The sequence below is a fragment of the Homo sapiens genome, chromosome X, assembly GCF_000001405.40.
Source record: "Homo sapiens chromosome X, GRCh38.p14 Primary Assembly".
Lineage (NCBI taxonomy): Eukaryota > Metazoa > Chordata > Mammalia > Primates > Hominidae > Homo > Homo sapiens.
Genome location: NC_000023.11, coordinates 148,814,289 through 148,842,073, shown reverse-complemented (window position 1 = coordinate 148,842,073; position 27,785 = coordinate 148,814,289). Strand labels below are relative to the sequence as shown.

The window sequence follows — 27,785 nt, the reverse complement described above, 5'->3', positions numbered from 1 at the left end:
TTATTAAGCCTAATATTGACCCTCTGTAGATGAAAACTAGGCTCACAGCATTATCTTTTATAAAAAGTAAGCAAGAACTATAACACTTTGCTTTAATCAAAAGTGAAATTTCCCATCTATTTAGTATGATTCTGTTGCTCAAGAGATTTGTCTTCTGGCAAGATCACCACTCCAGAAGATTACCACAAACTCAACAAGAGGCAGAAAAGGCCTCTTAGAGAAAGAACTGTCTGTCACAAAGCCCATATAGTTTGCTGCTCAGAGGCTTCTGTGCTCTCCCTGGTAGAGAACTGTCTTTTGACAAAGGACTCAAATGATTCCCACTCATTTTCAAATCACAGATGGCAAGGAAGGGGAAATAGTTCTAGAGGCACAGGCACTGAGAAAATTGACAGGTGAAAACCAATAGCAAAGGAGCCCACAAAAATGACACAGAAAAGTCTGAACTTAAAAAGCACAAGAATCTACAGTCATTTAATATAGAGGCAAGCATTCCCACCTGTCTTAATAGACCCTGAGAACATAATTGCAGCATAGTATAATATTACACATACTACAATAACTTACACTCATCATAATATATAAGTTATCAAGAAAGAGTAAAGCATGCTTGATATAATCTTTAAAAGAAGTCAGGAAAATATTAATTACACTTCAAAATAATTTATACTGCATGATTCCTATAGAATAATAACCTTCAGTTATCCAATAATTTTAATTATCCAGAACATCTCATTTTCCAGAGTGTCAAATAAATGACTTGTTAACCATGTATATCTCTGTAACTATATACAAGTATTTTTATCTGTTACTATTTAAGGGATTTCATTACAAAGGTACAGGATGAGTTTGGGCTTGTATACCTCCAGGAAATTAAATGACAAGTTCCAAAGTCAATTAAGCCAAATATCTGATCAGAGAGTAAAACATGCAGGCCGTCTTTGTACTGGTCTTATGCCTGAATTTTTAACCTTCCTCCAAATGTTTTGGACTTTACACCTAAACAATCAGTTCTTCCAGACCATCAGTGCAACAATGCATACAGCAAACTGGAAGATTGTGTTATTCACTGAATTGGAGTAACTGATATTTATTCTTGATACAATTTTTAATGTTAAACTGAATTTCACACTTCTTTTTACTTTATTTTTTAATTTTTAATTTTTTGGTACATAGTAGGTGTAAATGTTTATGAGGTACATATGATGTTTTGATCATTATGCATTGGATTTCACATTTCTTAAACTACAAATCAAATCAAAACAAATGAAACTCCTTTGTATATCACCAAAGTTACTTTACATACATATCCAGCCCCAGTTGGAAATAGCTTGGTTGTAGAAATAATCTGCACAGTTCTCACAGTAATTGTTAATGCACAACAAATAATACAAATTTATTTTAAATGCCTGACTTTGCTTTATGCATTTCTTTCATAGACATGTCATATATGTAATTTTTGCAGTAGAATATAATGATGCCAAGTTCTTTTCACAAACTTATATGAGGTTCTTTTAAGCAATAGCCTTGACAATAATCCTAAAATCAGAAGTTCCTAAAGGATCTAGATTATAGAGCAAGGGTCAGCTAACTTTTCCTGCAAAGGGCCAGACAGTAGATGTTTTAGGCATTGGGAGACATACCATCTTTGTCATAATTAACTGGACTCTGCCATTGTAGTGTGAAAGCAGTCATGGACAATGCGTAAATAAGTGGGTGTGACTGGGTTCCAAGAAAGCTTGATTTATAGACACTGACATTTGAATTCCACACTCATGTGAATATTATTCATAATAACATGTTATTTTTCTTTTGAAAATGTTAACCCTTTAAAGATGTAAAAACCTATGGGCCATAGTTTGCCAACCTCTGTTCTAGAGGATGTTTACCTCCAGGAAAACTTTATTAAACTTCTCCTGAGGATATGATTATTCTCTCAATTCTACTTGGCATGCACTTACTCCCTTCCTTGTGAGGTTTTTCATCGTCTATGAGAAAACATGGCATTTTCAATTTGAAACTGATAAGTAAGCTTAAGTAAGTTGAGAATTTTCAACTGTATTTGTTTTAGTAAGCTTACAGAATCATCAACTATTTTACCTAGAAAATCCATTGGGATTATATAGTGTATACACATACACACACACACACACACACACACACACACACACACACACACCATGCCCCAACACAGATGGGGAAACAGAGGTTTAGAGGAACTTGAACAGGACCACACAGCAAGCAAATGGCAGTGCCAGGATTAAAAGCAGCTGGGAAGGCAGCTCTTAAGACAGCACTCTTTCCTCTGGGCAAGCTCTGTCATGGATGTAAGAAACTGATGCTTTCTGAAAGGATGCTGTCACCTAATTCTGGTGGAAGCACTGAGGAAAGGGAAATCACCTTTGTTACATATAGGGATGGCCATGTTTTGGAAGATAGAATTTGAACTGGGGCATCAGTGGGCCTGTGTGATAAAAGATATACAGAGAGACAGTATGACCGCTGGTGCCAGGAACACCTGGATCTAAGTACTGGTTCCCTTATTTATTAACTGGATAATCCTGAGCACATTACTTAACTACCATGTTTCCTCCTCTGTAAACTGGGGTAGTAAAATTACCAATCTCTTTGGGTTGTAGTGGGGATTAAATTATTTACTATATATTAAGTGCTTAGAATGACGTGAGGCACATGGTGCCATTGTATGTGTTGGTTGTTATTTAAAGTGTACTTTTCTTTCAAACCAACGTTTTGGCAGGAATCAAATGAGACAGGAGTGGGTGTGTAGACTTCTTGCTTTCACCATTTTAGTCCACTTGCTTCTACCTTTGTCATGGGGTTGATGGTAGCACAGATAATTGGCAGAAAATGCAAACTGTGCCTGATTTCAAAGTGTGCACTTAACTATAAAAGCCCATTTAAACAACAGTTCTATTGTATACACTTGCAAATGTCAAAATTGCAACTTGCACAAATTATCTTCAAAACTGGAGAACCCACCTGAAAACACTGCAATTGCTGTACAAGTGTTGGACCTGAACTGGATGGATAACTCCCTTTGCTGGAGATGCCAGGGGGAAGGAGAACAGAAGCCTAAAAAGGGTGGGTGTGAATGCAAAAAGGAATAGCACACACCCATACTGGGACAGTGAGATTAGCTGTTCGTTTAGTTCTGACCTCTTTCATAGGTGAAGGAAGATCATTAAGCAAAGTTTAGATCAGTGTTACTTTCAAAATCATGACCCTAAAATCTAAGGGTTTCTCCTTTGGGTGTTTCTCCTTCTACAAATAAAGTCCAAACTCCTTGAGGTGGTATCCAAGGCGTTTTCCAAATATGCACCTATTTGCCCAGGTTTCCTCTCTTTCCACTCCCCATCACACAAACTTTAATCCTGCCACTTGAGACCTTATATCACCATGCACTACAGCATGATCCCTCATCTCTCATGACCTTGCTCACACTAGTCTTATGCATGCGGTATTCTTCTCTTGGCCCCTTCTTCACCTGTCAGAGTCTTAATCATCCCCTAAATGTTTCCACCTCAGTGGTGAGCACTTCCTCAACTCCCCAGGGGAGTGTTAGATACGACTCTGAGTCTTGTCTTCTCTATGAAGACATTTACTACATTGTTTTGTGATCTATGTGATAGCATGTAGACGGTTTTTCTTCACCCCTACCTTTAAGCCCACTGTATCTTCTCAGTAAATGATTTCTGAATAAATGGATGGAAGGAAGAAAGGAATGGAGGAAGAAAGGAAGACATTATATATATTTTTAAAGTATGTTAGAATAGCCATGTCTAGACATTTTAAAAAGTGATGGCAATAAAGCAACTCTTGCTGAGAGAAGGTAAATAAAAATAATATTAAACATTTGACAATAGAACTGTAGAAGATAAAGCTCTGTCAGTGTGATGTGGTGTTTTGTAAAGATCTGTCTGCTTGTGAGCAAGAACTGGAAGGTGATAAAAATGAAAATCAGTTCATTAAAGAGTACAGGTTTTGTAACTTTAAAATCTTGAACGTTGCTGTTCCATCATCTATTTGATATTTCTTAAGGGATGAGTTATTCAATCTCTGTCTCATCTGTTCTAGGCACAGCGACTTGGACAGTGGCAACACCCTATGGAGTAAGACACGCATGCCGGTATCTGTGTGTATTTTGTTTTAAAGACTCACTTTCAATAAAAATTATTTTTATATTGCTATTCTGAGGGGCAAGAGAGTCTAGATTTTATGGCACTAGAAGACCAAGGCCATTTTTGCCACTGAGAATCCAGTTGGAAGATTGGTATAATTAAAATAAGACAAACAAAAATGCAGGAAGGAAGAGAACTGACCTGTCCTGGGATGGAAAAGGTGCTCTGCTCAGAGTGTCCAGCAGTATGCATGGAAGTGAGAGGAGTAGGCCAGGAATGGGTCATCTCCTAATGAGGAAAAATAAAGAAACTTTATTTCAGGGCAATTAAAAAATCAAGCCCTTTCTTAGCACTAAACAGTGTAGGTCCTTTATAAATACTAACTTAACTTAACTGACCTAATACTTAAGGTGAATTTAAAGTCATTTGGACCATCCAGCAGATGCTTGCAAACTGCCAGTGACAGGGAGCTTGCTACTGCTTGAAGTAGCCTGCTCCATGTTGAGACAGCATCATCAGGCTATTCTTCCTTTTTTGTGAGTTAAAAACTTGTCCCCCAGGAACTTCTACTTATAGACTGTACTTTGGAGCTGCACAGAATGCATCTTCTCCTTCTTTTGAATGACAAGCCTTCAGTTGTTGGAAGATAGTAATCCTATCCCCTGGCATCGTCTCTTCTCCAGGCTGAGACATTCTCAGCTTGTTCATTCATTTATTGGGAACCTTCAACTTTTCTTCTAATGCTCAATTTCTGTACACTGTCACTATTGTTGGTGCTTCCAGGAGGAACTCCAGATTGCCTGGGGCTCTTGTAACTCATGGTATCCTGTTCCACGTGTGATCTGTCAGCTCAAGGGAGGACAGTACTGTCGCTGCCTTCTGATACTCATCTTCTCTTGATACAGCCCAACAGTTAGTGACCCATGATGCACATACTGTGGGTTTTTCCATGCAAAGATGAAGCCGCTGAGGGGAATTCTTTCTCATTCATAGAGAAGGTTACTATGTGATTGGTAGCTCGGTTCCACACAGCCATACACATAGACAGTGTATCTGTGAGTTCAAGTCTCAAAACAGGAAAAGCCCCTTAGGCTCCCACCCTGTGTTATCAGCAGGGACACCCTCTCAGCTCTTTCAAATACTCAGTTTGAAAGAGGTGCTGTTCAAATCTTACTTGAGTCTTAGGGCATGTGGCCAACATGCTTTACGCTAAGAGCAAGGATAATTGAATCACATGCTCAAAATCCCAGCAACAGAAAGATGATAAGTTTTGTGAAGCAGGAGGGAGTCAGCATGTGTTGGAGTCATCATTTTCATATAGAACCATTAAGCATTAAAAAAAAAGTCATGATAGAAATAAAGTAGGGATTTGGGGAAGGATGGAGGGGATCAAAATTTATGAAAGTCTTTTTTAATGAGTAAGTTACATAATACTTGTTTTTTTCCAGTCTTTATAAGTAACATAATTAGTCATTTCAAAGGTAATATTAATAAGAACTCTCAGGTAGCACTAAAACAAGGTTTTTTTCCTTCTATAATTACTCAGTTCAAAAAGAGTCTTTGATGTATGAAGAGCTGTAATGCAAGGAGATACTTCACAGATTCATTCACAGTGGCACTGCTGAAGCAGAATTTGTAAGTATTATTCTGACAAAGATTGAATTTTACCTAGCACTATTTAAAAAGGAGGAGGTAACTACATTAAAAATGCATACACAATTTAGAGGAGATGCTTAACCTACTTAAGAGATAGACTACTTCCAAGTGTTTTTGAGTTGTGCATTTGTATCCAGTTGATAACATTCATGACAAATCCTACTCATGTATTCATCAAAACTGGCTGCAAAGTAAATATATGTGACAACAGTAATTCTAATTACTCTGAGTTTTAAAAATACTCAGTGATCTCTTTTACAATTTAGATGGTTTTTCCTGATTAAGACTGGTCTCCAAAATAGTCAGATCATTTAAAATATATAGCTTGGGATGGGGGAGCTGTTGGTATAAGAGTACAAAGTTTCAGTTTGAAGGAGTAAGTTCTGAAGATCGGTTGCATAACATGGTGACTATAGTTATTAATAGTAATAATGTACTGTATACTTGAAAATTGCTAAGACAGAGTTTGAATGTTCTCACCATAAAAAAAGTATGTGAGGTGGACTGGGTATGGTGGCCTGTAATTCCAACACTTTGGGAGCCCGAGGTGGGTGGATCACGAGGTCAAGAGATCGAGACCATCCTGGCCAACATAGTGAAACCCCGTCTCTACTAAAAATACAAAAATTAGTTGGGCATGGTGGTGCGCGCCTATAGTCCCAGCTACTCGGGAGGCTGAGGCAGGAGAATCGCTTGAACCTGGGAGGTGGAGGTTGCAGTGTGTCAAGATTGTGCCACTGCACTCCATCCTGGTGACAGAGCGAGACTCCATCTCAAAAAAAAAAAAAAAAAAAGTATGTGACGTGATGGATATGTAAATTAACTTGATGTAATCATTCCACAATGTATATACATATCAAAACATCATGTTTTACCCCATAAGTATGTACAATTTTTGTCAATTAAAATAATTTTTTTCTCAAAATAAATAAAATATAGTTCATATTTAGCCAGAGTCAATAAAACAGCAGGTAAGTCTCTTCCAGAAAAAGGAGTGTTGTCTGTTTTCAGCAACTACTGGGTATGCCTAAATTGATTAGAGGCTTAGTTTTATCCCCTTTCACCACTGATTTTAGAGGTGTGCCTCTGGGTTTATTAAAAGGTGTTTCAGACACCGGGAAGAATAAAGTCACTTCTCAAAAGTGTACCTTTTCCCCTAGGTTTTCTGTATTTACTCGGAGGCAGAATCTGATTATCTTGAATTACCAGTGGAGTGCACTGCCCTGTTAGCTAATCCACATGGAACTGCACAAACTTCTACATTTTCAATTACAACTGATTTCAAACTGTATTTGAAAATGTGAAATTTCATGAAACAGCACACTGAGTCCATGTTACCACTGATGCATTTGATTACAGTAGGCAGGATGTAGTTGAAAGGAATATAATTTCCTGAAAGAATATCTTCCTCAAAGGACTTTGGAGCAAGCAAGCTCTTTCACTTCTCAAAATGAATTAGACTTGTAAAGTGTGGCACACTCACAGCAGATATTCCATTGTTATCCTTTTCATTAACACTTGAAGGATATTAATCTAGTTTATGTTCTTGCTATTCCTAAGATAAGACACCTATGCATTCTTACCCAACTTTACTAATCCTTCACCCAGTCATCAGGTAGGGATGAGCCCCTGCTCCCAAAATGTTGCCACAGCTTTATAACAGGATCCAATGATGAGTACCTGTACACAACACCAAGAATCACTTCTCTTTTAACAAAAATAAGTTACATACACACACACACACACACACACACACACACACACACACACACATCTGAGACTGGTCTGAACTTCCACAAGGAAGCACTGCTTTATGTTTGGGATCCTTTGATCCTTTGAGAGAGAGACAGAGAGAGACAGAAAGCAGGGATTCATATTCCCAACGGGCAACTGAGGTAATGGGGGTTCCAAGAGGTGAGGTCACTTATACACAGCCTTACATTTAGTAGCAAGTGAAGTTTGATTACTGGTACAAGAGTGCACACTTTCCACTATAACAAATATGTCTCCCTCTGTAAGACTGACTAACATGGATAATGAAGAAAAGACTAAGGAATACTGTTTTATCTTTTAGTATTTGGCAAAGAATGGATTTCATAAGTGATAGAGCATTCTACATAACTTCTAATAATAGGAAGACACTTATATTAATGTGATATGAAGACTCCAAAGTCAAACCCCACAAAATCACAAAAGGCTCAATTTTCCACCATATTATCCAAACAATAGCTCATGGCTAGGACTCAAAACAAATCCAAAACCACTTGCAGGTATCCTTGCTTTGCCCAATTTAGACACGAAAGCTGGGTATGCCACAGGCTGAAGGACAGAAGACAGTCTGTGTTCCAGGCTTTGCTAATCTCAAATGGATCCTGTACTCATCTAACACACAGCTACCTGAATAGCTGTTATCTCAAGTAACTAGTATGTTGTCACAAGCCTCACCTTATTCACCTTTGTATCTCTCCTGCCTAGTGTGTAGTAAGTAATTGGTTGGTCTTTTTGTACCAGAAACTAAACAGGCAGGGATTAGCCTCACACCCTTTTCACAGACAAGGAATTGAAGCACAAAGAGGTAAAGTGACTTGTCCAAGGTCACACAGCAAATGGCAGATCTGTTTGGTGGATTCTTTGCATTTGTTCTACTAATTTTTTATTTTTTATTTTTTTTTTTTTTGAGACAGCGTCTCACTCTGTCACCCAGGCTGGAGTGCAGTGGCGCCATATTGGCTCACTGCAACCTGTGCCTCCCAGGTTCCAGCGATTCTCCTGCCTCAGCCTCCCAAGTAGCTGGGACTACAGGTGCGTGCCACCATGCTAGGCTAATTTTTGTATTTTTTAGTAGAGACAGGGTTTCACCATATTGGCCAGGCTAGTCTCAAACTCCTGACCTTGTGATCAGTCTGCCTCAGCCTCCCAAAGTGCTGGGATTACAGGCGTGTGTAGCCATTATAAGCCAGTCACTAGGACATGGAAATGATAAAGTCAAGGACCTCTTTTTGAAGCGTTCACTGCCTGACATGCGAATCACCTTGAGAGGGGAATGAGCAAAGGTGCAGAGAATAAGGTGGTGGGGAAAGTCACTGTGCTAGGCATTTGGAAAAGGCTTCAATAGTTGAAGTGAGAGGAGCAGTGTTTTTGAACACACATGTGTGTTTATGTGTGTGCGAGTGTGTGTGTGTATCCCTTTTACAGGCTATCATTATACTTGGCACATAGTAGCTGCTCAAATAGTGTGTTTAGGTTAAGCATAAATATTAAGGTACTTACTGTAAAAGAGCTCAAACTGAAGAGATGATTAGGGCGATTTTTCAAATGACCACCTTAATGAATGCAAATGATGATGATAGTTCACATATTTCATTGTTGTTGTTATAGTCAGAGAGAGCCCCAAAAGCAACATGGACTAAGTATTAAGATAGGGAGAACTTAACTCAAGCCTAGCTCTGCCAAAAGCTATGTGGGTGGCCCTGGTCAAGTTGCTTGTCCATTCTGGGCCTCAGCTTTCCTGCTTACAACATGTGGGCTTTGACTTGGATGGCTTCTAGTTCTCCCAGTTAGCAATACCGTTCATCTCTGATTCTACCTGTTCTGCCTACCTCACAGGCTTGGCATAAGGGGAAGCAAATGAATAATTGTGTAAGGGCTTTGTAAACCATATAGTGTTGTACACATTCAAAGCTCATTGCTACCAGCCCCACAGGTATGGCTATGGCATTGTCAGTATGAGCCTGCATGCCTTGGCTTAGCAACCAGGCAGCTTGGGATCTGCCCAAGGCTCAAGATGGAGCTTGCATACACCTTTCTCCCTTCCCTCTACTAAAATACCAAGAACGTAATAAATGCAATTTTGGAAGTATTCACAAATTCTTGTGATTAAGAATAAGCGTGAATAGCTGAGTGGCTCAAATAAAAATATGGTTGAATAGAAGAATACATCTGCAAAATCGGGTTCAAGTTTATCAATATTTTCACAGGAAATCAGAAGTAAATGACTCACAAGTCATGGTAACTGAGTCATGGTAACTAACCTTGGTGTCTGACTTCCATTGGAGGGGCCCTCCCTTCCTTGCTTCCTTCCTTCCTCCCTCCTTCCTTCCTTCAGTTTTTCTTTTCCTTTCTTCTTTTATTTTTTAGTTTTGCTTTACAGATAGTGTACTCCCAAAAGGTATCCTACTGAGTAGCTTTACAAATCACCACAGACTAAGGATGAAGAAACATCAGCATCTTTCCGTCACCAAAACTAAATTAAACCTGAAAACATTTATGTGAGTGAGGTCTTGTTATTAGACTGCTGAATCTGTTTCTTTATCTAAAGGTCCTTATGCATTTACAAAAACACATATGTGTGTGTGTGTATGTGTGTGTGTATAGAGGAGGTGTTAATGACTTACCAGAAAAACCTAATTTGTTTGAATGAATGATTTAGACCCTTTGTATCCATGGTTCCTGACAGTTCTGTGAGGAGCCAGAAAAGGGGGAATGAAGCAGCTAAGCACCAGGATGCAAGGGAATAAGGCGCAAGTGCCCTTAGGATGCCTAGAAAGGGCTGCCCTGGGGCTAGGGTTCAGGAGAACAGCAAACAAATCCTTCCTTGACCTTCAATCTGCTATCAATTGCTAACCAGCCTGTAGGATGCTCTGCTCCTCCCTGATAGGAGAGCAAAGCCAGGCAGGGCATTAGCACCCTTATCTGCAGCAGCAGTGGGGGTGTTAATAGGAAATGGACAACAATAGCAGGAGTAGGGTTAAGATGGGTGTTGTGGGAAGTCAGGGACCCCAAATGGAGGGACCAGCTGAAGCCATGGCAGAAGAACATAAATTGTGAAGATTTCATGGACATTTATTAGTTCCCCAAATTAATACTTTTATAATTTCTTATGCCTGTCTTTACTGCAGTCTCTGAACGTAAATTGTGAAGATTTAATGGACATTTATCACTTCCCCAATCAATACTCTTGTGATTTCCTATGCCTGTCTTTACTTTAATCTCTTAATCCTGTCATCTTCGTAAGCTGAGGATGAATGTCGCCTCAGGACCCTGTGATGATTGCGTTAACTGAGCAAATTGTTTGTAGAGCATGTGTGTTTGAACAATATGAAATCTGGGCACCTTGAAAAAAGAACAGGATAACAGCGATGTTCAAGGAACAAGGGAGATAACCTTAAAGTCTGGCCACCTGTGGGCCGGGTGCAACAGAGCCATATTTCTCTTCTTTCAAAAGCAAATAGGAAAATATCACTGAATTCTTTTTCTCAGCAAGGAACATCCCTGAGAAGGAGAATGCATTCCCAAGGGGAGGCCTCTAAAATGGCCTCTTTGGGAAAGTCTGTCTTTTTTTTTTACAGTTGTAGATAAGGAATGAAATAAGCCCGGGTCTCCCATAGCGCTCCCAGGCTTATTAGGATGAGGAAATTCCCGCTTAATAAATTTTGGTCAGACCAGTTGTCTGCTCTCAAACCCTGTCACCTGATAAGATGTTATCAATGACAATGCATGCCCGAAACTTCATAGTAATTTTAATTTCACCCTGGTCCTGTGATCTCGCCCTGCCTCCATTTGCCTTGTGACATTTTATTACCTTGTGAAGCATGTGATCTCTGTGACCCACACCCTATTTGTACACTCCCTCCTCTTTTGAAAATAACTAATAAAAACTTGCTGGTTTTGCAGTTTGGGGGGCATCACGGAACCTGCCGACATGTGATGTCTGCCCCAGACACCCAGCTTTAAAAACTTCTCTCTTTGTACTCTTTCCCTTTATTTCTCAGACAGGCCGACACTTACGGAAATAGAAAAGAACCTATGTGAAATAATGATGAATTATTGGGGGCAGGTTCCCCCAATAGATGGGCCCATGGAGGGAGCCACACAGCCATTTGTAAAAGGATTCAGGGGGCTGGATGTGATCTGCACAGGCTGCTGCTCCCAGTGTGGTGTGCCAGAATGTAGCCAGGCTGCTGTGCAGCCTCTACAGACACAGGAACTTACCTGTTTCTCCTACTAGGCCCCCTCAGGCAGGCTTCGGAAGGACAGGGGCCCTTTGCTCAGGGTCAGGGAGCTTGGCTGTTCCAAACGAAATTCCCTTAGAGGGAAGTAGGGCATGTGGGAAGAACTACTGATCTTTTTCCTCTCAGGGCCCTCTCAGAGTGCTCTCCTGGATGTCCCATCTCAGTGGGGGCATGGGAATACTGCAATACCTCTAAGGGACAGCTATCTGAATGGTAAGAGCTTGGAAAGCTCATCTCATGTATACATAGACATTAAAGAAACAGGGAAAGTTTAGTCCACAGAAAAGGGAGAGTGAGGAGTGTCTTTAAATCCATGAAAGTCTTTCACATGAAAGAGATTTGAGACCTGCTTTGTGGACCAAGAGTTTAGGACTGGCTGTATGGGTAAAGTTATCAGGGGACCAATTTTAGCTCAAACTACTAAAGAATTTCCAATCATTTGAGGTTTCCAATCATGGAGCCTACTGTCTTAGAAGGCAGTGAGCAGTTCATCTCTGAAGGCGAAATGTCCTCTGCCTAGAGCAGTGAAAAGGGATTCCTAAAAGGTGGCGGAGTGGGTGTTGTGAATCATCTGTACTGCTTTACCTAATCAGATAATCATACACTTTACTTCTGTAAAGTCAAAGATATATATGAGAAGATGCAAAACTGAATCTGGAGCAGTTGTTTTGCATGACATATAAACACGGCTGACTAAATTGACTAAGGAAATTTGTCATTCTCCCAGGGATGGGGTGGGGGAAACATGCTGAGGGGAGCCTATTGTCTCACAGTGAGACAGCTAACAGCCCAATTTGTCTGATTGTTTGCTGAACTCTTAGAAAATCTAACAACAGTGGAACCATAGACTTTCCTAGGCTTGATCACTAGCCATTCCTGCCAAGCTTTTCTAGTGGTCAAAACTCTGTTCCATTCAATTGAATGAATATTCTTCTATTTGGAATGCTGTTAAGACAGTCTCCTGAGATTGCTCCTCTGATTTCCATGCAAGTGCTCATAGAGAGGAAGTGTAAAATCAACGGTTACATTAAACATAACTTCTTGGCCATGGCATAACAATGGGTCAATGCAAAATGCAATTCTTTTAAAAGTTTCTAACACTAACTTATGATTTAAATGGCATGGTATAAAAACCCTGGCGATGTTTCTTCAAATAAATAATGGAATTCTGTATTCAAACTCTTTAGTGCTGGCAGTTGTTTAAGGGAATCTGGAAATATTCTCCTTCGGATCCAGGAGGAGAATCTGTACATGCAAAAAGTTCAGCTCACATTGGCTGCCTTCATCCTGGCAGCCCCCAAACCAGGGTTCCATTGAAAAAGAGCCCTAATTATAATGTACAATTGGGAAGTATAGTGATCAGTATTCTGAATCTCCACTGTGTACTCAATCAGGCAATCAATCAAGCCATCTTCTTGCCATTGCCAGATGCAATCAATTCCATTTCACCCACTGAATACAACAGGAACATATATGACCATGTGCAGGGCCTATTCATGCAACTTTTTTTGGCCCAGTTACTCCTCGGGCATTCTACATTCAAACACTGCAAAGAAAGGTCTCCAAAGGTAAATACAAGGGAACAGAACACTATAGTGATATACTGGGCAGAATTCAACCAGACCTTTTTAGTTCAGCAAAAGGTTTCAGCAGCAGCAACCTCAGGCCACGGCCCATCCAACTAATGGTATTTGATTCCCTAAACACGATTGCCTTGTAAATTTTAATCTTTATTAAGACCTTTGTCTTTGTCTAAATTAGGTTGAACCAGTCAGAATAGAAGACTGAACACCCCACTAGGAAATGTTATCAGATTGAACAACACTGAATTGTTTGCCTTGTTTGGTACAGGCAAAATTAACACAATATCAAAGCTTAGAAATGTAAGAACTGGCCACTGAGAAAGTGTTCTGCAAAGAGCAGTATCAAAAAGGGAATCAAGGTAGAGGGCTTTTTCTAAGTGGTCCAGTTCAGGTATGTGAGGATTCTGGGGTTTCTTCAGGGCCAGTTCTTAACATTTCTAACCCTTGAAATTGTTTCTTACATTCTTAAGCTAATTTTGACATCAGATCATTGTAACTCTTTTCAAAAGTGATTTTTAATTGCAATGTTGAATTTCCAGCTCTTCTGTTTCAAATTATTTTGCCGTCAACTACATCCAATGACCATCACTTAAAATATACTGATTTGAGATAATTCGCGAGGCTTTCATAATACTACAGCCATGTTTTTTTTTTCCTTTCACAGTCACTTCAAAAGATGGAATGACATGCTATATCCTCACAGCATGAGATGTTTCTTAATGGTTACCTTCCAATTTGCTCCTTTAGCACCAGCTCAGGCAAACCAACTTGATAAAACTCACACACTTTCATTGGCTTCTCCTCCAGCAGCATTTCTAATAATCTATATTTAATTTCATTCATTCAGAAAACATTTATTGAGTGTCTACTCCTTGCAAGGTATCTGACAGCCAGGAGGCTAGACTAGGTCCCGGTACAGGGTCTGGTGGTACTCTCTGTAGCTAGAGTATTGATAATTGGAATGAGAGTAAGGTAATAACAATTACCAGTTACCATTCGAAGTAGAAATAAAATAAGCCCATCAAAGTTGATTTTTTTTAGAGAATAATGCACAATTTGTTATATGTTTCAGAAATTGCCAAAGGGATTTGTTGATTTCACATTGTTGGAGAGATACGGTGTCAATGCAACAACACAGCAGTCCTTTAGAAAGCCAGCTTATGCTATAAGTGAAAGGTACTAGAGAATGACAACTCCAGGCAAAGGGGGGCAGAAGGATACATTTCACACAATCCTCAGTCTAAGTCCTTTCAAAGAAGTACACAAGGCATGTTAGTATTCCATTTCTAAGGGCTGCTGTAGCTTTTCAAACATGATAGCTTTCTTGTAGTTTACACTTATCACGTTAAGAAAAATGGTAATGAGGAGTTCATGACAACTACTTTTAGAAGGGACAAAGGCTCAATTGCTGGGGAATAAAGAAGTAATATCTATTTTCGTGGAAAGAAGCCTCCAGTTAAGAACTTGGCTATAGCTTTGGTCTCTCATTATTCCTGAGGTCAGTAAAAATAAGGTACCAGGCCGCTAATACAGCTGAAACTCCATCCAATATGATTTGCATGGAATTGTCTTTCCTCTGAAACAGCTATTTCAATCTTAGAATCACAGTGCCAGGGGCAGGAAAGAGAACTGGTTTGTCCCATTCACATGAAATTAACTAACAAATCTATCACAAGATGTCAGTCTAACTACTGAACACCAGGCCCTCTCTCCCGCCCCCCATCCACAGATACCCCTCAATAAAAATAAAAATAAACCAACAGAGGTATCAAATTCCTTGCAGTAGTCTGAATTTAACAACATCAAAACCACTACTAAGTCACAGTGAAATTGATTCAGAAAGCCCCCTCCAAGTATTCCAAGCCCCTAATAGGTTGAGTATTTCTGAATGCCTGGACTCCTCTCCCCAGATTCGTTTTTCTCTACAATTCCCCAAATAACGGAAAATAAATAGCATCTGTATTCCATATTAACAGTGGCAAAATCACAGCACAAGTGAGAGGCATATCTTTTTCTAAAAGGATATTTGACTGATGAAGAAGGAGAACTTTCTAAACTCAATATGAACACTGGGGGCCAGTGGTATGTACAAAAATGTGGCCCCACAGGCACGCTATAAAGCTTCAATTCTATTTTAAACCCAGGAAAGCAGGTCCCTCTCTGCCTTGATATAAACAGCCACTTGCCAGCATAAGCTACAAGTAGCTATTGATTCATATCTGATATTTTATACTAAGTATTTGTTAAACATCAATCCAATCTGATTATTGGATTTCACTACCAAGTCTTTTTTTTTTTAATTAAAAGGTAACAATCACACAAGAAGACTATTATAAAAGTTTCTTTTATTGATAGTTTCCCATTGACATCTTTTAGGGCATCCACATTTGTACTTCAAAACATTTACTCACCATAAGGAAGGGGTGCATTCCAATTACCCCCACCCCCCGCCCCTTGCAAGCTTCCCTAATAACCCTCTGAGAATCCACTGCCAGTGGATGTCTCTAAATCCTCTTTAAACCTCTACCTTTTTTTTGGCCTAAAACATCTTTTTGGGTAACCAGATCAATACGTTTACTCCTGGCTATAAATTTAGCAAAGCACCAAATAGAAGATTCAAAGGGAACAATGTCAAACCCTTACCTAGGAAGGTTTCAGTGTGCAAATGAAACATTGGTCTTGAAGTAAATAAATAGCTCAAGGAGAACTCTACCCCACCCGCAACACACTCACAAACCTGGATCTCTCAGGCCTGGGATTCCAACTGTTACTTGTAATCAATTTGTAACTCTTGTCCAAAAGCCAGTTGGCAACCAGTGCCACAGCACGTTGCCTTCCTACTCCCACCCCCACCACTGCCTCCTGCTCATCTAGTCTCTCCTTGATTTGTATTAAAGAAGGAAAGAAATGTGCAAAATGATTTAAAAAAAAAAAAAACCCTGGTCAGAGATTTGCAAGCCACCCACAGAGACTGCTATACAGCTGACAAAAACCAACCGGGCAGGGTCTCTGGGCTAATTAAACAAATTTGACAATTTGAAAAGCTGCAATGTGCCTTATGAACTATGGAGTGGTCAAAAATGAAAAAAAAAAACTACTCTATTAAAGACATGAAAGGAGCTTACATATTTAATATTCAAGAAAATCACAGGGGCAATCTAAACTCCTTGGCCAAATCAGATAGAGAGTCTGTGAAGGGTCGAAATATGAAATTCAAAGTGACCCTTTGAAAATATTTGGAATTTCTGAATAACAAGAAGAGTCACAATAACAATCCAATAGGAGCTTGTATGTATTTGGGGGTTAGAATTCACTGTTTCATTTATGTTACCATATTTAATCCACTCAATAATACAGAGAAGTAGTTTTTCTTGTTCTCATTTCATAGGTCAGATAACTGAGTTTTGGAGACAATGTCATGCAGCTCAAGGACCTCTGCCCAGGTGTCTGGCTTTGAGCTCTAGGCTTTGGGCACCACCATACTCCATAGGACAGGTTTTCCAAAAGGGAAAACTCCAATCATGTAGCAGGAACAAAGCTCCCTCACCTTTCTGGAAGTCCATTATAATTTGGTGGTTATAAGAAGTACATTATCATCATTTTGTGTGTGTGTGTGTATGTGTGTGTGTGTGGTTTTAGAGATGAGGTCTCACTCTGTCTGTCACCTCAGAGTGAGTAGTGTGCAATGGTGTGATCGTGGCTCACTGCAGCCTCCAACTCCTGGGCTCAAGCAATCCTCCTACCTCAGCCTCCCTGAGTAGCTGAGACTACAGGTGTGCACCACCACACCCAGCCAATTAACTTATTTTTATAGACATGTGGGTCTCCTTTTGTTGCCCCAGGCTGGTCTTGAACTCCTGGTCTCAAGCAGTCCTCTCACCTCAGCCTCCCAAAGTGCTGGGATTACAGGCATGAACCACAGAACCCAACTTATAATTGTTTTGAAACCACTGCCCTTACTCATGCCACACGCAACCCAATGGCAAGTGTGAGGGTCACACAATCCAAATGGCAAGTCAGTAAAAATAAGCCGATCCCTAAGGAGAGGCACGAATTTATTAAATTTCCCTTGTCACCAGAATGCATTCCAAGTAATGGCTTTTTATTCTCGAACTTTATGGAGGTATAACTGACAAAATAAATTATTAATATATATTTATGGTATACAATGTGAGTTTCTGATGTATGTATACATTGTAAAATGATTGCCATAATCAAGCTAATTAATATGTCCACCAACTCACATAGCTACCTTTATTTGTTGTTTAAATGTTGTGAGAATATTTAAGGTCCACTCTTTTAGTAAATTTTGAGTATATAATACAGTACATCTTCAGAATTTATTTACCCTACATAACTGAAAGTTTGTACAATGAATGGCTTTTCTCAGGACTCAGTCCATTTTAACGTTAATAATCCAGATCTCAAGCCCCTGTGCAAGGTGTAGGTAAGCAACTCCCCTTAATGAAGAAATGGGGCAATTAAAGCCACTGGAGCTGTCCAAGTGCTGCTGTGGTACTTCCTTTAATGATGCACCTTAGGTGGATGTCTAAAGAGATGGAAAAGCTGAAGAGTGCAGGGAAGAGAGAGTGAGAGAGGAAGAGAGAGAGAGAGAGAGAGAGAGGAAGCAAATATGAATCAATTCCTGGGTTTTTATAGTACCATTTCTCTCCTAAAAGGGCCATTCAACGGTCTGATGTACCCTCTTATTTCCAGAGCCTAGGGATGAAAGCATTATTAATGTTATTGAACATAGGGAAAGACACTTTGTCTGAGGCCTGAGTTAGGAGTACATGGGTCCCTGCATTGCCCAACAAACCAGGCGTATGCCTGAAACTTCTCTGGTCTTCTCTCTTTTGTGGGAATACTTGCTGTATCTTTTTCTACCTACTCAGACTTATTTTTTGTTCTGTCTTATATAGTAGGGGCACTGCTCAGAACCAGAGTTGAATTTGATCAATGTATTGTATATAAGACTCAGGAGGAAATAAATTAATCAGATATACTCTAAACACAGTCTAGAATACACAGTCTAGAAGGTAAAACAATATTTGATTTTATTTTATGATAAAACTCAGAATAAAAACCTAGAGCAAATCTGAAGAGATATCTGGGGCAGTTCTGTTCACTGTATCTTTCTACAGTGATGGAAATACTGAGTTTTGTGTTGTCTAATATGGCAAACACTGGCCACATGTAACTAATGAGAACTTGAAATGGATGAGGAACTGAACTTTTATTTTGTTAAAATTTAATTAATTTAAATTCAAATAGCCAGCCACATGTGGTTGGTGTTTCTGTACTGGAGAGTGCAAAAAATTCAACACTTTACAGATGGAGAACCTGAAGCACACAATGGTTAAGAGACTAGCCAAGGGTCACAGAATAAGGTAGTGGCAGGGTCAGAACTAGCTCTGAGGTCTCTTGATGTCTGGTCCAGTGTCACTGGCACATTGTTTTCATCTTAATCCCAGTTCTTTCAAAGGCCGATGCTGCATGGTCTCCACTCTGTAACACAGGACAGGAGCAGACCAGGCTCTAACATCAGGGTGGATTCTCCAGGTGTCAGACCTGCTATTCACTTTTGCATCAAAAGCACTAGGGGTGTGAGGATGTGCTGGGAGCTCCTGGATTAAAGAGCAGTGAGGAGGCTGCAAAGTTGGAGGATAGACTAGCTTTTCGGGTATCCTCTGAACGCAACAGGTCCTGAGAAGTAGTAAGGGAGTTCAATAGAAAATAATCAGAGGCCCAGACAGCCAGGATGCTGTTTTTACACCTTGGTTTTAGATTGGCCTTAGTTATTTATTTTATGATTCTGCAATTTCCAGTTAACATGTTGCCAGGAAAAGAGCAGGATGAGTCTGTTCGTGTTAGTGTGTTCATTCCAATAATGAAAGGCTTTGGGGAATGGAGTGTTTAATGGAAGCAACTTACAGGCTATCAGCCACACACACACACACACACACACACACACACACACCCTGGAGGAATCACTTTAGGGAAGAAAACACATCTTGTGGAAGCTCTTTTCTTGTGATCACAGTGATAATAAGCACAGTGAATAGTGCCAAAACATTATTTGAGAGATTTGAAAATCTCTCCCATTGTAGTAGCATATGGGGCCCTGTCTTTATTCAGTACCTTGTTTACACTGATAATGCTAGCATTATTGTATTTTGAGGAACAATATTAAAAATGGACTATAACAATGGTATTAAATAATAATTTGCAATTGAGGATGTGATGACTATCTGGCTGCGACATCTGTTACCCCACTGAACGTCAGGTTTGATTCAACTGATCTGGCTGGCTAGATGGGTGTCATTTCTCGCTCTTACCACTGCTTATCTATAGAGTTGAATCCTTCTTAGGTCAAAGGTATAGGAGCAGCTGTGCTTCCCTGCTACAACCTCCAAGCAAGCTCTCACGGTCCATTTCTAGGAGAACATAGGGTAGTCAAGTTTCCAAGAATCCAGACACATCTAAACGATTGGAGCTGCATGCGGCATTTTGCCCTTCTTAAAAAGAAATTGGCAATGGAAAAAGCACACAAATGGTGATAATATATCATTTGGAGAAATAAGAAATGGAGTCATTAAAATGCCTAATATTTGTATAATTATTCTACTCAATAAGCACTATTATCTGCTTATTAACTTGTAATATTTTCATGGAAAATCAAATCATTATTGTACCTTGGGTGGAAATAACACTATGAGGTCATTTTCTCTAACCATTCCTCTAAAAATTTAAGTCATTTAATAAACACATTACATCTAATCTATGCACTTTTTATGCACCTACACTTGTCACCTTTGTGTGCATGTATGTGGGGGGGCCTTCTGGAATTGGCCAAAGAGACAGAATAAGGATTTCCACACAGACTATGACCTAATGGACCTCACATTCTACCATAAGAGGCAACTCCCCAACATACACACATACAAAGGCCAAGTGTAGATATATAAAAATTGCTATGGGGACCTAGAAGACAGATAGAGAAATTAATTCATTAATATCTGTGATCTCTGTGGTGGATCTTACATGGTGTAGATAGGAGGTCACCAGACAAAGACAGGAGTGGATGAGATCACAGGCAGAGGGAGGGGGCAGCACACAGAGGCAGAGGAGGAGATGGCACATTTGATAAAGGGGGAGAAGTCTGCAGTGGATGTGGAAAAGGGCACACAGTTGGGAGAATTGGCAATATGTGAGGTAGGCATGAGTGGTGACATAAAGGAAGGACTTTGACTGCCAAGATCTGGGTTTGGAAGTTTATCCTCTAGGTACTGGGGGAGCACAGTGCCTCTATTGAACACTTTCAGTGACAAAGACCTCACCTCCTTCTACCCTTGGACAGATCTACCAATTAGAACAGGGGAGAAAGGAAGGATCTAATTGAGTGCTCCAAGCACTATTCCAGAGGTTTCATATGCATCATCTCATTTAATTGTCCCTATAATTCTGAGAATTAGGGCATATTATCTCACTTTTGTAAATGAGGTACGAAAAGGTTAATTTACCCAAAAACATTCAGCAAGGGAGAAGAGCTGAGCTCTACTGTCTTAACCATGATGCCCCACCCCCCAGAACATTCTTGCTTGTATTGCCCTAATACTTATCCCTCTATAAGTGCCCCTCAAAAGTTGGATTCCACCATTTGAGGCCTTCTATCCCAAATGCAGCCTCTGAGTCTCTTGCTTCCACAGGGTAGTCTCTCAGGCAGCCACAGCCTGCTCCCTCTTCTAGTTCAATTTTCTGCTGTTTAATCTAGTCTATCTCTTTAGACGTTCCAGTTTGGAAACTACCCACTATCCTGGTTACTCTTTGCTAAGTGCATTTTAGTTCAGCAATATAACTCTTAAATTGTTTTTTCATTTTTATTTAAGTTCAGGGGGTAAACATGCATGTTTGTTACATGAGTAAATTGCCTCTTAAATATTTTTATGAAAGTAATATAAATTATAGAAATTGAGAAAATATAAAAAAGAAGAAACTCACCCATAATTCTAACTCTAACAAAATAAGAACTATCATTTCAAAATATTTTCCTTCAGTTTCTTTTTAGTCATTTTTTATAGAGATATAATACTTAAGTACATAAAATGTTATATTCTGCTTATTTCAGTAAACATTATCTCATAATTTTTCCTCATGTTGTTACATCACCGGCAAAGCCATCTTTTTAATGGTTGGTTATGATTCTGAATGTATAAATCTGAGTTTGCTTAACTATTCTCCCACTGTTAAATATATAGTAGCATTTTTTGCTATTACAAAGAATTGTGTAATGAATAATTTTGTTCACATAGTTTTTCTAGGAGCTTGGATTTTTCTCATAGCATGAATTTTCTAAAGTGGGATTATAAATTACCAGTGTCCCTCTAAAAATAGAGTAGCCAACCCAAATAAATGGAGAGGCACATTGACCACATCCATGAGATGAAAGATGCACACAGTAAAGGTGTTAATTCCCTCAAAATTGATTTATAGATGTAATGCAATACTAGCCAACATTTAAGCAGAATTCTTTGTAAATATAAATAATATATCTAAAATTCATATGGAAAGGAAAAGGAACTAGGATAGCTAAACCATTTTAGGAAAAGAACAAAGTTGGAAGATTCACATTATGCTATTTTCAGACTTACAATATCTACAGAAATTAAGACATTATGGTATTAGTGAAAGGTCAAGGACACAGACAAGTAGAAGAGACTGGAGAGTCAAGAAGTAGACCCACACAAATATGGTCAATTGACTTTTTACAAAAATGCAAAAGCAATTCAATGGAGAAAGATTAAATACAATCTTTTCAATAAATCGTGCTGGAACATAATGTAAATCTCAACCTATACCTCACATCACACATAAAAATTAATCCAAAATGAAGACTTAAATAAAACTCTTAGAATAAAACATGGGAGAATTTTTTTGACCTTGAATTAACCCAAAAGTTCTTCGACTTGACAGCAAAATAATAATCCATAACATGAAACAAAGATAAATTGGATTTTATCAAAATTAAGAAATTTTTCTCTTAGAAGGATATCACCAAGAGAATGAAAAGACAAGCCACAGCCCGAGAGAAAATATTTGCAAATCACATATCTGACAAATGACTTATGTCCAGAAACAATAAAAGCTCTCAAGATTCATTTATAAGGTAATAGACAACCTGATTTAGTAAATGAGTAAATGATTTGAACAGACACTTCATCAAAAAAGATATACAAATGGGAAATAAGTACATGCTGAGTAAGTGGTCTTTCATACTTGGCTGGTGTAAGTGCAAAATGGTACAGCCACTCTAAAAGCAATTTAGTATGGTTTTTATAAATTTAAACATACTCTAAGCATATGACTCTGCGATCCCACTCCTAGGTATATTCCAAAGATAAATGAAAACATGTGTTCATGCAAAAATCTGTATATAATTATTAATACCCACATTATTCATAATCACCAAAAACTGCTTGGTTTGAAATTTTGGCTCTGCCACTGGTTAGCTGTCAAACTTAGAAAGTCACTTAAGCTCAGAGTACTTCCACATCATTATCTAACAAGGGGATGATAATAGTACTTGCTTCTCGGCATTGATATAGTGATTATATGAGTTACTATATGTGAAATTCTTCTAACAGTGCCAGGTACAAAAAAATGCTAGGTAAGTGGTACTACTATTAGTATGTACTTTGGGTTCAGGCCAACATGAGTTCCAATTCTGTGTTAGCTGCTTCATAACCATATGAATATATGATTCGGGGCAATTTTCAACCTCTCTAAGGCCTCCAGGCTGTCATCGACCCATTAGCCTGTGGTCTCTGGGTAATGAAATAAGCACTGCTGGAGGAAATTATATAATCTACAGATTGAAACCTGTATAAATATAATATCTTCAATATCACCTGGAGCCTTGATGTTGCCTCATAATCTTACTATATTCCCTTAGAGTGAGAGACTTCTCTCTCTTTCAATTACTCTTTCATTCTCCAGTCTCCTCTAACCTCTGAACTTTCCCCTGACTGCTTCTTATCCCTGCCATCTAATTATGAGACTTGATCGGAAAATTAAAAATAAATTAAAATCTTCCATATATACTTCTAATATTTTATGTTTTTGTTTTTAATCTTTAATACATCTAGAAGTAATGTTTTTGTATGGCGTGAGGTAAGGATCCAAGATTAACTTAGGGAGAACACAAACGTCTGTGACATTGTCTTCCTTTTCAGGAATTGTATGCCTTTTTATTGAAGTATTCTTTGGCATCTCTCATAGTGACTTAGTTTGTTTATACAGCTCTGACACAATTCTTGTTACATCAATTCATAAGGTGTAAAAGGATTTTTTTGCCCATTACATCTTATAGTTGCTTGCTTTATATGTAAAGACTATTTTTTGCCATACATTTATTTTGCACAGAGCAACTTGGCTGAATTTGTGTATTATTCATAATAGTGTTTTCAGTTAATTTGTTTCTGGTTTCCAGGAAAACAATATATGTATAATGTACAAATAGTAACCATTTTAAGCATTATCTCTCACTTTAATGCCTCTTATTCTTTACATATTTAATTGTCTTGGCTAACCTCCAGAAAAACATAAAATGATAGTGGTATAAAGAACATCTAGTCTTTTTCTTGACTATAATGAGAATGCTTTGAGAGTTTCTCCATGAAATGTGATACTAGCCTTTGGGTTAAGGTGGATATATTTTATCACATTAAATATGTTTCCACTTATTTCTATTTTATCAAGAATGTGTATTCAGTTTTGTCAAGTGTCTTTTATCATCTAAATGAAGATGACTGTGTAATTTTTCTTTTTTTATTCTCTTTGTAAAAGGCATTATACAAATGGATTTCTTAACACTGAACCAGTTTTACACTCCTGGAATAAAACCCACTTGGTGATATTGTATATCCTTTAAAGTGCTGTCTGATTCTGTTTGTTAGTATTTCATTAAGGAGCTTTGCAACAATAATCATAAATGATACTATTATGCAATTTTCTTTTTTGTGTTCTATTTTTGTCAGATTTTAGTATCAAAATAAAAGCTAGATTGGCTTTTCTAAAAAGTACTTTGCAAATTTTTCTTTTTGTTCTATGTCGTGTAAAAGTTATACTGTCATATTTTGTGAAAGTTTAGTTTAATTTCCTCACGAAATCCCATCTGGGAGTGACGCTTTTGTTAAGGGGTGGGGAGAGTCTTCATTTCATTGATGGCTATAAGCCTGTTTAGATTTTCTGTGTTTTCTGGAGTTAATCTCTGTCAATTACATTTCACTAGAAAAACCATCCATTTCATCCACCGGTTTATATTTATTTGTACAGAGCTGAGAAAATTGCTACTCATTATTCTCTTAGTTTTCTCTGTATCTGAGGTTATTTCTGTTTATTAGTTCTTGTTTTATGTATTAGTGTTTTCCCTTTTTTCTTGATGGCGTTAAGTAACCAAGTATCTATTTTATTGTATTATTGTTTTATTTGGGAAAAGGATCTTGAATTAATTAATTATAATGATTTTCTGTTCATAATTCATTAATTCACACCTCCTGATTTATCTATTTTTTAAATAGCATCTTTAAGTTCCTGTATCACTGATTTTGTTCTTGTCTTTTCAGATAAAATTGCTTCATGGTTTTAACAAATTCATGCCACTATGTTGGTCACAGCTTTAATTTTTCCATAAAAATATTGTTTTTCTGGTACACTTTTCTCACATGCTTTTTTGTGTATTTTTTTTTTTTTGCATAGATCTTGTGGTGATTCTTTTTTATTACTATTTTTTTTTTCATGTCAAGAGTTCTTCCAGGACCAGTCAGGGCTGTGGCTGAATTCCAGACTAGCAGGAATTCTCTTCGGAATACAAGGCTGTGTGCCCAAATGCTTTCAGGCTTTACTTCTCTGTTATCAATAAACATCAGCCCTACAGGCTACTTGCAAAGCAGCATCTCATTCATCCACCTTGCCTCACTAACAAAGTGCCTTCCACAAATATGGATCATTTATGTAATTTCTCATTCAGTCCTGCCTTCCCTACTTCTCGAGACTGTGTCCCAAACTTGGTCCATGGAAGCTCCCATCTCCAACTTTAATGCCCATTCTCATTATTCTAATACTGTTATTGCTTTTCACCATGTTCCACTTATTCTGAAAATCAGTGTTTCTTACATCTACTATGCCACAAATCCAAGACCATGGGAATCACTTATTGGCTTCTTCCCTGTTTGACCTTCACAAAATAAATTGTGAGTCAGGCTTATGGATACCCTTTGGTTACATCAATCATGGAGTTTCAGTTTATTTTTCTCATTCTCCTGAATGCTTCTAATGACAAACGAGAGAAGGGACAAGCCTTGTTTTATTCTTTCCTTCTTTCTTTCATTTCAAAACTGGGAGATGCCTACCAAATGGATTCCAAGAGGCTACTTCCTCAATGTGTTTTGCAGAGACACGAGTTTCACCTTTACACAGATGCAAGTGGAATGGTTAACTTCCTTGCATTACTTCTCCTTTCCCCAGCCCAATCCCACTAGCAAAGCTAGTACAAAAATGCTGGTTCTTAGACAACAGTTGGAAGCTGTTACTTCTTTCAGATAAGCTTAGAATGCTTTTTGGCAAAACAATGTGTTGTTTCATTACTCTCTCCTTACACCCAAGATACAGAAAACAGGTGTAAATTCTACACATGGCCTAAATTCTCACCGGCTTTCATCCAATTCAATAGAAAATCACAAATCACCATATTCACAAAAAGAAACAGGTTGACAGAGAACAGACTTATTTTTATAGCATACCTAAGATATACAGGAACTGATAAATTTACTCAGCTATTTTAAAGGGGCTACTCTTGCTCATTCTCTGGACAGCTAAATGCTGGGTTGCTAAGTTACTTCTATTTGATATCATCTCTTCCCTGACATCTCCCCATGTTTGACAGGTTCCCATGATTCACTGGCCCAGTCACCTCATTACTCATATTACTCACTTTCCCAATGACATCTGTAAAATCATTTAAAATTCACCTCATATATTAGCTGCAAACCCCTAGATTCCATATAAAAATATTTAAACTGCTTGACAGGTTCTAAGTGCATTTGGAAGCACACTGGATGGCTTACCTGCATTGTTCACATAAAGTTGTTATAATTAAATTTAGCATCTTTCTTCTGGGTTGGTTTGTGTTTGAGAAAAGAGGAAATGATTACTAGGAGGCATATAATGGATAATATCTCTTATGAGCTAATTTGGTTCCATGAATAGCTCACCTCACATATGCATGCTACGTATTAAGTCCATTAGTGCTTTGAATTAGCTTCAGAAAAGGGAATACTGCACATAATTTACCCAGTCAAGGGCATTTTCACCTGCTGACAAATTTACATATTTCCCAGTGCCATTAGGTAAGAACTAGTCATCAGATTAGCAAAGGGCACTATCATTAGTTAGTTCATTCATTTGACTCCATCAATGTTAACATTAATTATAGTCTAAATTATATTTAGGAATTGTCTTTCTTGGGCGGAACACTATATTACTATTTCAAGAAACTATAATTTTAAAAGTCCACATCCAAATAAGATACATGCTTTCTGAAACATTCCAGAAGGATTCCTATTTAAGACAGCTATATAGAAAATCGTTTGCATGAATCCAAGTTGAACATTATTTATACATTAATTTGACAGGATATAAAATCAATTGCCTAATTATTGGTTAAATTTATAAAAGAAATTCTACTGAAAGGTGCTTGATTATGCTGCATAGTTATGATAATATAATCAAATTTCCTTTCAGACATAATTGTCCGACCAATTTTGTTCCCTGATCCATTTTTTTTCTTACTTGCAAGATGGGCTTTTTCATTTATTTCCCTGTTAAAAAATAAAAATAAAATAACAAGCACTGCCCTGTAAATATTTGGTAATTTTTTTCCATGCTAAAACTGTTAACTAAAACACAAGCCTAATAAGTAGAATTGCCATAATTTAGAATGCTGTAAACACAGATCATACTGTAATCAAAAAGAGGTGGCCAAGTAGGTGTTTACCAACCTGATCCATATGGCAGGAAGAAATCTGTAAGAAGATACAGTTTATCAAATCAAGTTCCCTAAATCCTAGCTAGCAAATTCAGCATCCCTCATAAACACTGAATTACCCTTACAGATGTTTGCCTATGAAATTATCAACCACAGAAGGTGCTTTGCTAGGAGAGACAATCTGTTTAGCATCAAATCTAAAAGAAATGCTCTATCTGCATTTTTGATTCCAGAAAGGATTTCATAGTTTCTTGATTTTTTAAAGTAAATTCTTTCTATGAACAAATAAATCATACTACTGTAGAACAAATAATCATTGAGCATCCATCCTTAGCTAGTAGCATTTAGAGCA

At 38.1% G+C, this 27,785-nt stretch overlaps 1 protein-coding gene and 1 pseudogene across 6 annotated transcripts in view; one reads left to right on the top strand and one right to left on the bottom strand.

The window, feature by feature from the left end:
* The window catches only part of AFF2 (ALF transcription elongation factor 2), a 500,047-nt gene that overhangs the window by 158,590 nt on the left and 313,672 nt on the right, over window positions 1-27,785 (bottom strand). For 2 of the 6 annotated variants that reach the window (NM_002025.4, NM_001169123.2), the window contains exon 5: window positions 4,341-4,427. The exons of the other annotated variants lie outside the window; for them this stretch is intronic. In NM_002025.4, the coding sequence (NP_002016.2) occupies window positions 4,341-4,427 (87 nt within the window). The remainder of the gene's footprint in view (window positions 1-4,340; window positions 4,428-27,785) is intronic. 6 annotated transcript variants of the gene reach the window in all.
* RN7SKP267 (RN7SK pseudogene 267) lies at window positions 19,626-19,910 on the top strand (annotated as a pseudogene).